This window comes from Homo sapiens, chromosome 16 (genome assembly GCF_000001405.40).
Source record: "Homo sapiens chromosome 16, GRCh38.p14 Primary Assembly".
Taxonomy (NCBI): Eukaryota; Metazoa; Chordata; class Mammalia; order Primates; family Hominidae; genus Homo; species Homo sapiens.
Window position 1 is genome coordinate 79,213,428 of NC_000016.10, and position 15,183 is coordinate 79,228,610.

Below are 15,183 nucleotides of genomic sequence, written 5' to 3' on the forward strand. Positions count from 1 at the left end.
CAGACATTATTGTCATTTGCAAAAGCAGCCGTCAGAACTCCACTCTCAGAATCTACACCTGGAGGGGATCACCCCTCCCATATGACCTCTGACTTTGGCCATGTGACTGGCCTTGGCCAATTTGGAAAGTGCTTTGCACTGGGGCTTGCCTTTCCTTGTTGATCTTTGGAACCCTGCAACTTCCATCATAGGGAACGGCTCCTGGGCTAGCCTGCTGGATGATGAGAGACACGTAGTCACTCCCAGAACCGGCATCCAGCAGTTAGTTAGTTAGACATGTAAGTGAGGCCATCCCAGACTATCCAGCCCCAGCTGTGCCAATTCAGAGGAGAAGAAACTGCACATTTCACTCACAGCAATGCAAAAGATAGTAAAAGTTTATTTTAAGCCACTAAGTTTCAGGATTACATGTTACTCAGCAAAAGCTAACTGATACAGCTTCTCAGCTCACTAAGGTTAATTTTTTTCTACCCTACTTCTCTTATAATTTGGTCTCCAGCTACCTCTCTAATCTCAACTTCCAGCACTTTATCCACTAGAAGCCACTCTAGTCTTCCTCTGTTCCTCGAACATGCCAAGCACACTCCCAACTCAAGGGGTGCATATTTGCTGTTTCCTCTGCTGAAATGCTTTCCTTCCAGAAACCAGCATGCCTTTCTTCCTCACTGATTTTTAGTCTCTGCTCACGTTATCCCTGTCTTCATGGTGTCACCCCATTCTTATTCCCCTTCCCCTCTATTTTTTCTCCACAACACTTAATATTATTGTACACATTATGTGTCTATTTTTTCTGTCTACCCACTATAAGAAACTCCATGAAATTTGTCTGTTTTCTTCACAACTTGGCCACAGTACCTTGAACTGCTCCTGTCACACAGCAAACTTACTGACTTAATAAATAACCACTGAAAGAATGATTCTGGGTGACTAGGCTTTATGTTCAGGAAAATAATTTCCATCATTGTGACAATGATCCCGAGCCACACACTGTGCTAAGCAGGCTACATTACCACTGTCGCCCGGGCTGCAGTGCAATGGCATGATCTCAGCTCACTGCAACCTCCACCTCCCAGGTTCACGCGATTCTCCTGCCTCAGCCTACCAAATAGCTGGGATTACAGGTACACACCACCACACCTGGCTAATTTTTCATATTTTAAGTAGAGACGGGGTTTCACTATGTTGGCCAGGCTGGTCTTGAACTCCTGACCTTGTGATCTGCCCTCCTCAGCCTCCCAAAGTGCTGGGATTACAGGTGTGAGCCACTGTGCCTGGCTTTTTTTTTTTTTTTTTTTTTTTTTTTGAGACAGAATCTCACTCTGTTGCCCAGTCTAGAGTGCAGTGGCGTGATTTTGGCTCACTGCAACCTCCCTCCCCGGTTCAAGCGATTCTCCTGCCCCATCCTTCAGAGTAGCTGGGATTACAGGTGCCCACAACCACACCTGGCTAATCTTTGTATTTTCAGTCGAGATGGGTTTGACCATGTTGGCCAGGCTGGTCTCGAACTCCTGACCTCAGGTGATCCACCCACCTCAGCCCCCCAAAGTGCTGGGATTACAGGTGTGAGCTACCATGCTTGGCTATTACATCTGATTTCTAATATGACTACAGTCTTGCCAGTTCACCCCTTCTCCCCATTTTACTGATGAAAAAGCTGAGGCCAAGAAGTGTCAATCTGCTGTTGTCCATACAGCTCATAAATTGATAGAGCTGCAGTTCACACCCAGGAGTGTTTGATTTCAAGGTCATGCAGATTGCCTGCACCAGTGCCACTGCTCCTTCCATAAGTTGACTATATCCATTCTGGTAGGATGCACCATCTTTTTTCCTTTTAAACAGAGATGGGGTCTTGCTATGTTGACCAGGCTAGTCTGGAACTCCTGGCCTTAAGCAATCCTCCCATTACAGGCATGAACCACTGTGCCTGGCCATGGATGCACCATCTTAAAATCTTAGGCTGATCAGAGAGGTGACTTTATGGGTCTGACTCTAGTTATGCTTCAAGCATTTGGTGGAAGTGAAAGTAAAGCCACGAGAAAGAAGATATTGGCGTATCATCAGCCAAGGTGCTGTGCAAAATGTCAAAGAGAACCAAGAGAGGACATGCTGGCCTCCTGCTTCCTGGCCGTGTCTAGGGCCTCTATGCTGACTTCCTCCTCTGTGGATCCTGCAGGGTTCACATCTGCAGGCTGACAACATGAGGCCTCGGGGAACTTTGTAAGGGTAGCTGAGGATTCTCCCAAATCAAGATTTCCAAGTCATATAGACCAAGGCTTCATACATTCATTCATTTAACAAACATACCAAGTGCTACATCCTGGAAATTCAAGGTTTAAAGTAAACCCCTCCACAGCCTCTGCTATAAAGGAATTTACATCTTGGGTCTGTAGGAGTCCTCACAAAGCACAACGTCCTACTCCACTTTATCAGAAGTTATCTACGTTACTTGAAGATGAACTGAGGCCCCGTAACAGTAGCGATTGCCCCCTCATGCCCATTTCTCCCTGAACCCACTCAGTCAGACACTGTCAGTCCCCATGGGCCATTTTCTCTTGCCAGACACATCAATCTTATTTCCTTGGCTATTTCTGTGATAAATTCTTGACAGGTGAGCAAGTGCATGGCATAATTCCTATTATTCCTATTTTAGCTTATTCTATGGCCAACCCTATTTCTCCCCATTTGTCATATGTGCACATCTGTATATGTATATGTCATGCACATCTGTATATGTATGTCGTGCACGTGTATATGTATATATGTCGTGCACATCTGTATATGTATACGTGTCATGTGCACATCTATATGTGTATATGTACATGTATGCATGCACAAATATGTGTGCCATACATGTAAAACACAGGCATTATAGATGTATAACACATATATGTGGCACATGTGCATATGCACATATATGTATTGCATATATATGTGTATATTCACATATATGTATACAGATGATCCCTAACTCATGATGGTTTGACTTATGATTTTTGAACTTTACGATGATGTAAAAGTGATATTCAGTAGAAACTGTGCTTAGAGTACCCATATGACTATTGTTTCTTCCTTTCAGTATAGCATTCAATAAATTACATGAGACATTCAACCCTCTAATAAATCAGGCTAAGTGTTAAATGGTTGTGTTAAATGCCTTTGTCCAACTCTAGGTAAACTTAAGTTTTCTGAACACATTAAAGGTAGGCTGGGCTATGCTATGATGTTCAATACATTAGGTGTATTAAATGCATTTTTGACTTATATTTTCAACTTACTATGGGTTTAGACGGTAACCCCATAGTAAGTTGAGGAGCCTCTGTGTACATATATGTGTGTATTTGTAGTATATGATTTATGTAATAATGATCCTACTCTATCTGCTACTTTTTTTTTTTTTTTTGAGATGGAGTCTCGCTCTGTCACCCAGGCTGGAGTGCAGCGGCACGATCTTTGCTCACTGCCACAGCCACCTCCGGGGTTCAAGAGATTCTCCTGCCTCAGCCTCCTGAATAGCTGGAATTACAGGCACCCGCCACCATGCCTGGCTAATTTTTGTGTTTTTAGTAGAGATAGGGTTTTGCCATGTTGGCCAGGCTGGTCTCGAACTCCTGCCCTAAAGTGATCCAACTGCCTCAGCCTCCCAGAGTGCTGGGATTACAGGCATGAGCCATCGCACCCGGTGTCATCTGCTACTTCTAATTTCAGATGCTATTTACTGAGCATACTCTGTGCCAGTTGATGGGTTAGGCAAATCACTTTATGCTCATAGGATGAAAGTGAGTTTTAGAGAGAAAGTAACCTCTCCACAGTCTCATAGCTGGTAGACAGCAGAGTCAGGATGTGAAGCCAGCTCCATCTGCCTTGAAGCCCATGGGCCTTCCACTACACACTACTTTTATGTGTGGCCTATAGACTAGAAGCATATATACATTACATTCATACAATGGGTGAATTATCTGCAAGGGAAGACCAGTTGATTTCCTATTTAAGAATGAGCTCTGGCTCTTCTCCTGATACCGAAATGTCCAGTATAAACCTTACAAATCATTTTTGTACATGCCATTTATCCAGCAATATTGGCTTCAGCCTTGCCTACATTTCTCAATAGGCCCTCTCTCCTGTTCTGACTGTAAGTTGGTCTGCACCTTCTCATGGACTCAACATCCCGAGTTCTTCGCGCTCATCTGATGCTACAGAATCCACCCAAACAGGAAGAGTAGGCCAGTTTCTCTGCAGTCGTTTTCTTCCAAGTCCCTCTCTCTCCCTAAGTTTCTTTCAACTCCAAAGGTGGCCAGTTTCCACTTTCACACCTGATTAAGGGAGACCTTGCTGCAACTTATCAATAGGAAACAAGAAATTGAAGCATTCCCCAGCAATGACTGAAGGCTGTGGCTTGTGGTTTTGCTTTTTAAAATGGGGTTATGAGTGGTTTTGTTTTGAACTCCAGTGAAGGAGGCCTGATGACGTTCATCAAGGTCAACACTAGGCCAGAAAGACTTGGCTTGCAATATCACTGCCCATTCTGTTCACCAGCAGGCACCATTTTTAGAAGCTTATGTAAAAAAAAAAAAAAAAAAAAAAAAAAAAAAAAAAAAAATCTAAAATAGCAATACCCTGTCTATTAACTCTTTGTGTCTTTCAATATATCCAAGCTAGTTTAGCTGAGGTCACTTTAGAATACTAAGTAATATCACAAATTATTATTCATATAATCACTGAACAAACAGCTCTGAGTTGTATCTATAGATGTTATGTTATTGCCTTTCAAGGATTCATGGTATTTGGCTTCATGCCCCCCCTTTTTTTCCCTTCCCCCCTCAAAGTCATCTTATTTCTCAAAGTTTTCCATTATTTTAATGGCTACCTCATATATCACATAGGTGATGGGCCATTATTTGGAAACCCATTCCCCTACTGTGGGACATTTAGGTTATTTCTAGTTTCTGTTAGAACTAATGGTTCAATTAGCATCTTTATGCATACAGCTTTTTCCTTCTATCAATTGATCTCCTCAGCATACCTTTGTAGAGCGTAGAACTGGAGTTCCTTGATCCAACAGCTCCTACTGGCCTTTGCCACAGAGAGCCACAATGCTATCTGGAAGGGTTACACAGGCAGAACCAGCATATTACTGTTTGTTTACAACCTTATCAACACAGGGTGTTCCCACTGATAACATTTTAAACTGATTTTCACATTGTCACAACCTGTAACTATTTATATATGGTATTCCCAAGCAGCCAGCCTCCTTATTTAAAGTATAAGCATTCTGTCTTTCATTTTCCCACAGGACAGAGTTCACATGTTTAATTAGAGTGGAAATTCAAAGTGAGTCTACATTCAGTTTGGGCAGAAAAATACCAGTCCATCCAAGCTACTGCACTGTTACTAGATTATTGCACCAGTGAAGAGCCTACCTTTTTTCCTTTTCAATCTCCAGTTGTAGCACTACACAGATTCCATCTGAATGCAGTGCAAAGCCCAAAACTCACACCCCAAGCCTCTGTGGTTCATACTGGCTTAGGTATTTACCCCACTAGCCAGGATTCCTTAGCTGGTTACTTCTTCCCAGCTGATGCACCGTCTGCTTTTATAAACATGTGCCACACCACTTAGAAAGAAGTGTCTTGCCTCTAAGCTGATCTGTTTACAAGGCCATGCCCTGCTGCATCTTAGGCGTGAGAGAATAAAAGCTCCTTTTAATTTTCAAAACAGAGTTACGCAAATAGAGGCTCTCCATGGCTCATTCAGATGAGGGAGGCTCTGTGTCTTCTTCCGGCTTTCCTGATTTTATCTGATGTTCACCAAGAGCTTGTCCTGTTACTTTGGAATTGTGACAATGTCTCATCTGATGCTGGGCATTCCCTGAGGGACAGTCCATTTTTATAAAGCACCATTTCCCGAGTGCTTACCAAAACGCCTATCTGAAATTCTGTCTTTGTTCATTTAAGACTCACAGCTTTTGTACAAAAAATTAGCCAGGCAAGGTGGCGGGCGCCTGTAGTCCCAGCTACTCCGGAGGCTGAGGCAGGAGAATGGCGTGAACCCGGGGGGCGGAGCCTAAAGTGAGCGGACATCGCGCCACTGCACTCCAGCCTGGGCGACAGCGAGACTCTGCCTCAAAAAAAAAAAAAAAAAAAAAAAAAAAAGACTCACAGCTTTTGAAGTGAATGTTACTGTCCCCTTTTCACCAATGAGCAAACCATTTGAATCGTGGGGTCACCACTTCCTGTGTGACGCTGTGCCACCATTGTACGTCTCCACTCCAAGGCCATTTGTCTCTGACCCCGTTCCCTACTGTCACTCTGCGTCTGTGATCTCCTGTACCTCAGACTTCATTCCTACCGTGCTTTATTTTCAATGTAGGACTTGTTTAGGCTTCTCTAAGCTGAACAAGTGGGAATTCCATTGGTAATTTACCTGAATGTGGCTTTATGTTTATATCCTTTCAATATGATTTGTGATATTGGTTATATAAAAAGTTGTATCATCGTATTTAAATAGAGTTAATCTTGGAAATAACTGGTAACTAATGTTCTGTTAAACAAAATGTACTGCTGTTTTTATTAAAAAATTAAAATTCTTTGGGATGCCAAGGTGGGCAGATCACCTGAGGTCAGGAGTTCAAGACCAGCCTAGCCAACATGGTGGAACCCTGTCTCTACTAAAAATACAAAAATTAGCCGGGTGTGGTGGTGGGCACCTGTAGTCCCAGTTACTCGGGAGGCTGAGGCAGGAGAATTGCTTGAGCCCAGGAGGTGGAAGCTGCTGTGAGCTCAGATGGTGCCAATGCACTCCAGCCTGGGCAACAGAGTGAGACTCCATCTCAAAAAAAAAAAAAAAAAAAGTTAAAGTTAAAATGCATGCCCAGCATTTAAGTTTGGGGGGCAGGATCAGAAAAACACATGTGCCCATAGTCCCACCACTCAAAAGAACCAACTAGTGTAAATACTGTGGTACATTTTTTATGCATTAGAAAATTTGCATGTATCTTGTAGTTTTCATTTTATATAGTTGTGATTATATTCCATATACACCTTGATATATTTCAAACTAAGTAAATTATTTTAAAATAATTTAATGCCTTTATGATCCTGTATCTAGCGAACAGATAGATATATGGTAGTTACTTAATCATTTTTTTATTCTTGGAGAGTTAAAATTTCTACCCTTTACCACCACCATGTTTCATTAATATAAATCGTGGTTTAGTAAATATATTTGTGTAAGATTTGGGGGAACTCTTTATTTTCTTAACATCAGTTCCAAGGAGAATGCTGGGGTCAAACAACATGAAAATATTTAAGGCTCTGGGTAGTTACTGGCAAGATACTTTTTCTGTGCTGCCTACACAGATGGCTTTTATCTCTGCTGCTGGTTTTCTTTGAGAAGAGTAGGTATGTTTCACCCAGGTGGATATGCTGCTGATCAGTTTATTTTCCCCAGATGACCTGCCTGTCTGGCATGCAGCACTGTTAACCTTACCGGGAGATGCCATTAAAGTTCCTGGGTATGCAACTCTCTTTCCCGTCTGGAACCAAGACAGAAGAGGACAGGAGCATTGTGTCAGCGAAATAAAAAAAGGCTGAATGCGGAAAGCAGAAAGAAACAAGCTAAACTTTGGGTCAGCTCGTTTTGCCAGCCTTTTGATAGTGTTCATTGTTCTGCTGCTTCAGAACCTACTGAGAAAGTTCGAAGACTTTCTTGACTGCGTTGGGAAATGTTCAGAATTCTTTGCCTGGTTTGCTAAGACAGAGCTTGCCCTTAAACTTGGTTCCGGGGAATTTTACCTGGTGTGGCCTAGATTTGAAGGACTTTATGATGAAGTACTTGGCTTTGTGCTCTTCTTATTATTGGCTGCCTTCAAACCCACTTTAGGGAGAGAGGCTGAGCAGATCCTCCCTGGGAAAAAATTCAGTCATGTTACCGTTTTCTGAACAAGAATCCAGAACCTTCCAGAAGCCTGTGTAAATCACTCTATGTGTTCCCAAAGCATTCACAGCTCAGCACTTTCAAAATATAGGAGCAGAAGACATGAAAAAAATGAACACTCATACATCTATATCTCATGTTCAATCTGAATAGCAAATATTAATAGTAAAAACCACTGTTTAAAGTATTAAAATCACTATGATCCTTATTAATAATACAAAACAGAGCTTCTTAATCCAGAAATTCAAATTCTAGCAGTTAATCCTAAAACAAGGCAATCTTCATCATCTGGACAGCTGATAAGAGTGTATGTGATTATGTGTGTGTACATGTGCATGAGTGTATGTGATTGTGTATGTGTGTGTGTGCACGTGTGTACGTATACGTGATTGTGTGTGTATGTGTGTGTGTGCATGTATGTGTAGATATCAGGAGTTTCAGAATTCAAAAACCGCATGAACAGACTAATAGATCTGTGAAGTTCTGTTATTAAAAACAATTTAATTATGTTTAACCCTAATCCTTTGAACACAGGCCACTGCTTTGTTTTTGTCTTTGATTTTTTTTCATTAGCTATTTGTTAATACACTTCCCTGGGACACAGACAGAGAAACGTTTTTCTTAAAGCAGTAAAAATAATATCATGAGAAACCGGAGATCAATTTAAATGTCTAACAGTTGGGGCGAAGCTCTCTGACTACCATGAAATAACGTTGTGGGAGAAATTTAATAGAAATGATGTTTAAGACTAACAGCAGATCTCTCGGCAGAAACCCTAAAAGCCAGAAGACCTACAAGCCAGAAGAGAAAGGGGGCCAATTTTCAACATTATTAAAGAAAAGAATTTTCAACCCAGGATTTCATATCCAGCCAAACTGAGTTTCATAAGCGAAGGAGAAATAAAATTCTTTACAGACAAGCAAATTCTGAGCGATTTTATCACCACCAGGCCTGTCTTACAAGAGCTCCTGAAGAAAGCACTAAACATGGAAAGGAACAACTGATACCAGCCACTGCAAAAAGATACCAAATTGTAAAGACCATCAACACTATGAAGAAACTGCATCAACTAATGGGCAAAGTAACTAGCTAGCATCATAATGACAGGATCAAATTCACACATAACAACCCTAAAACTTAAAGTATAATAATAAAAAAAAGAAAACAATATTAACCTTCAATACAAATGGACTAAATGCTCCAATTAAAAGACACAGACTGGCAAATTAGATAAAGAGTCAAGACCCATCCTGTGCTGTATTCAGGAAACCCATCTCACGTGCAGAGACACAAATAGGCTCAAAATAAAGAGATACAGGAAGATTTACCAAGCAAGTGGGAAGAAAAAAAAGCAGGGTTGCAATCCTAGTCTCTGATAAAACAGTTTAAACCAACAAGATCAAAAGAGACAAAGAAGGGCATTACATAATGGTAAAGGGATCAATGCAACAAGAACTAACTATCCTAAATATATATGCACCCAATACCGGAGCACCCAAACTCATAAAGCAAGTTCTTAAAGACCTACAAAGAAACTTAGACTACCACACAGTAATAGTGGGAGACTTCAACACTCCACTGTCAATATTAGACATATCGACGAGACAGAAAATTAACAAGGATATCCAGGACTTGAACTCAGCTCTGGACCAAGCAGATCTAATAGACATTTACAGAACTCTCCACCGCAAATCAACAAAATATACATTCTTCTCAGCACCACATTGCACTTATTGTAAAATTGACCACATAATTGGAAGTAAAACACTACTCAGCAAATGCAAAAGAACGGACAACATAACAGTCTCTCAGACCACAGTGCAATCATATTAGAACTCAGGATTAAGAAACTCACTCAAAACTGCACAACTACATGGAACCTGAACAACCTGCTCCTGAATGACTACTGGGTAAGTAACAAAATGAAGACAGAAATAAAGTTCTTTCAAACCAATGAGAACAAAGACACAATGTAGCAGAATCTCTGGGACACATTTAAACCAGTGTGTAGAGGGAAATTTATAGCACTAAATGCCCACAAGAGAAAGCAGGAAAGATCTAAAATCGACACTCTAACATCACAATTAAAAGAACTAGAGAAGCAAGAGCAAATAAATTCCAAAGTTAGCAAAAGACAAGAAATAACTAAGATCAGAGCAGAACTGAAGGAGATAGAGACACAAAAAACCCTTCAAAAAATCAATGAATCCAGAAACTGGTTTTTTTGCAAAGATCAACAAAATACACCACTAGCCAGATTAATAAAGAAGAAAAGAGGGAAGAATTAAATAGACTCAATAAAAAATGATAAAGGGGATATCACCACTGATCTCACAGAAATACAAACTACCATCAGAGAATACTATAAACACCTCTGTGCAAATAAACTAGAAAATCTAGAAGAAATGGATAAATTCCTGGACATATACACCCTCCCAAGACTCAACCAGGAAGAAGTCAAATCCCTGAATAGACCAATAACAAGTTCTGAAATTGAGGGAGTAATTAATAGCCTACCACCCAAAATAAGTCCAGGACCAGAGGGATTCAAAGCCAAATTCTACCAGGAGTACAAAGAGGAGCTGGTACCATACCTTCTGAAACTATTGCAAACAATAGGAAAAGAAGGAATCCTCCTTAACTCATTTTATGAGGCCAGCATCATCCTGATACCAAAACCTGGCAGAGACACAACAAAAAAAGAAAATTTGAGGCCGATATCCCTGATGAACATTGCTGCGAAAATCCTCAATAAAATACTGGCAAACCGAATCCAGCAGCACATCAAAAAGCTTATGCACCACGATCGAGTCAGTTTTATCCCTGGGATGCAAGGCTGGTTTAACATATGCAAATCAGTAAACGTAATCCATCACATAAACAGAACGGATGATAAAAACCACATGATTCTCGCAATAGATGCAGAAAAGGCCTTCAACAAAATTCAACAACCCTTCATGCTAAAACTCTCAATAAACTAGGTATTGATGGAACGTATCTCAAAATAATAAGAGCTATTTTTGACACACCCATAGCCAATATCATACTGAATGGGCAAAAACTGGAAGCATGCCTTTTGAAAACCTGCACAAGACAAGGATGCCCTCTCTCACTGCTCCTATTCCACATAGTATTGGAAGTTCTGGCCAGGACAATCAGACAAGAGAAAGAAATAAAGGGTATTCAATTAGGAAAAAAGGAAGTCAAATTGTCTCTGTTTACAGATGACATGATTGCATATTTAGAAAACCCTATCGTCTCAGCCCAAAACCTCCTTAAGCAGATAAGCAACTTCAGCAAAGTCTCAGGATACAAAATCCATGTGCAAAAATCACAAGCATTTCTATACACCAATAATAGACAAACAAGAGAGCAAAATCATGAGTGAACTCCTATTCACAATTGCTACAAAGAGAATAAAATACCTAGGAACACAACTTACAAGGGATTATGAAAGACCTCTTCAAGGAGAACTACAAACCACTGCTCAAGGAAATAAGAGAGGACACAAACAAATGGATAAACATTGCATGCTCATGGGTAGGAAGAATCAATATTGTGAAAATGGCCATACTGCCCAAAGCAATTTATAGATTCAGTGCTATCCCCATCAAGCTACCACTGACTTTCTTCACAGAATTAGAAAAAACTACCTTAAATTTCATATGGAACCAAAAAAGAGCCCACATAGCCAAGACAATCCAAAGCAAAAAGAGCAAAGCTGGAGGCATCATGCTGCCTGACTTCAAAGGATACTACAAGGCTACAATAACTAAAAAGCATGGTACTGGTGCCAAAACAGATATATAGATTAATGGAACAGAACAAAGGCCTCAGAAATAGCACCACAAAACTACAACCATCTGATCCTTGACAAACTTGAGAAAAACAAGCAATGGGGAAAGAATTCCCTATTTGATAAATGGTGTTGAGAAAACTGGCTAGCCATATGCAGAAAACAGAAACTGGAACCCTTCCTTATGCCTTATACAAAAATTAACTCAAGCTGGATTAAAGACCTAAACATAAGACCTAAAACCATAAAAACCCTAGAAGAAAACCTAGGCAACACCATCCAGGTCATAGGTATGGGCAAAGACATATGGGCAAAGACTTCATGACTAAAACAGCCAAAGCAATGGCAACAAAAGCCAAAATTGAGAAATGGGATCCAATTAAACTAAATAGCTTCTTCACAGCAAAAGAAACTATCATCAGAGTGAACAGGAAACCTACAGAATGGGAGAAAATTTTTGCAATCTATCCATCTGACAAAGGGCTAATATCCAGAATCTACAAAGAACTTAAACAAATTTACAAGAAAAAAAACCACACAACCCCATCAAAAAGTGGGCAAAGGATATAAACAGACACTTCTCAAAAGAAGACATTTATACAGTCAGCAAACATATGAAAAAATGCTCATCATCACTGGTCATTAGAGAAATGCAAATCACAAACACAATGAGATACCATCTCACACCAGTTAGAATGGTGATCATTAAAAAGTCAGGAAAGAACAGATGCTGGAGAGGATGTGGAGATATAGGAACACTTTTACACTGTTGGTGAGAGTGTAAATTAGTTCAACCATTGTGGAAGACAGTGTGGCAATTCCTCAAGGATCTAGAACTAGAAATACCATTTGACCCAGCAATCCCATTACTGGGTATATACCCAAAGGATTATAAATCATTCTACTATAAAGACAAATGCACACGTATGTTTATTGCAGTACTGTGCACAGTAGTAAAGACTTGGAACCAACCCAAATGCCCATCAATGATAGACTGGATAAAGAAAATGTGGCACATATATACCATGGAATACTATGCAGCCATAAAAAAGGATGAGTTCATGTCCTTTGCAGGGACATGGATGAAGCTGAAAACCAACATTCTCAGCAAACCAACACAAGAACAGAAAACCAAACACTGTACGTTCTGACTCATAAGTGGGAGTTGAACATTGAGAACACACGGACAAGGGAGGGTAACATCACATACCAGGGCCTGTCAGGGGGTGGGGTGTTAGGGGAGGGATAGCATTAGGAGACATACCTAATGTAGATGACGGGTTGATGGGTGCAACAAACCACCATGGCATGTGTATACCTATGTAAAAACCTGCATGTTCTGCACATGTACCCCAGAACTTAAAGTATATAAAAAAATTTAAAAACAAAATGTTTATAACCTATTAGATGAAAAATGTACGTTATAAAAGTTGGTAGGGTATGATCCCATTTTTGTTAAACCTACATTCATGACTTTGTACCTACAAATACGTATTGAGAGAAAAAATGAATGAAAAAGTGCTAATAATGTTTATCTCTGGGTAGAGGACATGTGGATGACATTTTTTTCTTAGGCTCATCTATATTCCCCACATTTTCTATGATAAAGGTATGCTCTAATAGTTTTTAAAAAGTAAAATTTAGAAAAATGATGACAAAATATGCCAGTGCTTGTAAAACATGCCCAGCTGCCTTATTGAGTATTATAGCACGGCTGTGAGCTGACTCAGGTCCAGTCATGGAGCCTCCAGAAAGTACTCTTGAGTTGACATACTGACAGAAATGGAATGGCTTGTAAGTTTCCCAGGAACAGGATGGGGAACCTTAGGGCTACATGGCACCAAGAAACATATATTTGAAAAAAATAAAAGCAGGTGGATTATTTTGGGTCACTTAATTGTTTCAAAATAACTGGCTGGGCCAGTTAATCCCAGCCCTTTGGCAGGCTAAGGCAGCAGGATCCTTTCAGTCCAGGAGTTTGAGATGAGCCTGGTCTCAACCCCATCTCTACAAAAGTCTGGTCTCAAATCCCGTCTCTACAAAAAATTATCCAGGCATGGCGGCACACACCTGTGGTCCCAGCTACTCAGGAGGCTGAGGTAGGGGGATCGCCTGGGCCTGGGAGGTCAAGACTGCAGTGAGCCTTGATTGTGCCACTGCACTCTAGCCTGGGGGACAGAAGGATACCCTGTCTCACACAAACAAACAAACAAAACAAAACAACTGGCTGGTTGTCTGAATTACCTTTCATTGCTGTGTGTGTATGAACACCATCTCCCTGTGACTTTGGCCAGGTCAGTATTCAACAAGAGACTTTTTTTCCACTTGAGTTTGACATTCTGCCATGGTCGAGTAACGGTACTGTAATTGTTTAGCTCCTCATGTCTCCACCTCAGTGCACTCCTATTAACCTTGAACATTCATGCCCAGATTTTGCCACACCCAGAGTATGGATATATGACAAACCCCATTCTACGTTTTGTTTTATTACTACTTGCTAAAAATTTGAACTAAATGATAAGCTGAAGTATTGATTTTTTTTTTGCCCATCTCATCTCTGCTACTATAAAGTTTTTAAACATTGGAAAACAAAATAATACATTTTACGCTACTCTAAACAAATATCCTCATCAAAAAAACCTGAAATATTTAGACTTAAAAAATATCAGCAATGTCAATATAACTGTTGAGTGGAGAGAAATCCTGGGTGTAGACCACAACTTCTTTCTTGGAATCTGAGAATAATACCTTTTCAGAAAAATCTTTGAGACAGGGTCTTTCTCTGTCACACAGGCAAGACTGCTATGGCACAATTATAGCTTACTGTTACCTTGAACTCCTGCGCTCAAGCGATCCTCTCACCTGAGCCTCCCAAGTAGCTAGGACTATAGGCACGCACCACCACACGCAGCTAAGTACTTAGTTTTTGTAGAGATAAGGTCTTGCTATGTTGCCCAGGCTGGTCTCCAACTCCTAGCCTCAAGTGATCCTCCTGCTTCTGCCTCCCAAAGGGAGGTTGGGATTATAGGTATAAGCCACCTTGCCCAGCCACATTATTTTTGAACTTTAAAGTTATTTCATGACTTGTGTAACAACTATTTGAAGGGAAAGAATGAAAAATATGCCATCTACAAGGAAAGCGTGAATACCTAAGAAACATCCAAATAATTCACCCATTAACTATCAGTCTAAATGAGGGCAAGGTGGGTCTGATCTCCTAATAATATCACATGTGCTTCATTCATAAAATCAAGAAAGAATGGCTTCACTAGATCCTGCTCTGACTTTAATCCCAGGACAGGAAATGCACTGATAATTCTCAAAGCTTTGGATAGGAAAGCTTCACAAATTGGCCTGGATCCATTTCTGTGGCTGTGAGTCTTCACACATTGATCTTCCTGATCCCTGAGCCCCTGCCGGTGTTTCCTCACTGGCTCATGCCCTTTTCAATGGTT

The 15,183-nt window shown here is 40.6% G+C and overlaps 1 protein-coding gene across 5 annotated transcripts in view; it reads right to left on the reverse strand.

Moving 5' to 3' along the window:
- Positions 1 to 15,183, reverse strand: part of MAF (MAF bZIP transcription factor) — a 398,116-nt gene that overhangs the window by 10,806 nt on the left and 372,127 nt on the right. The gene's annotated exons all lie outside the window — the stretch shown is intronic.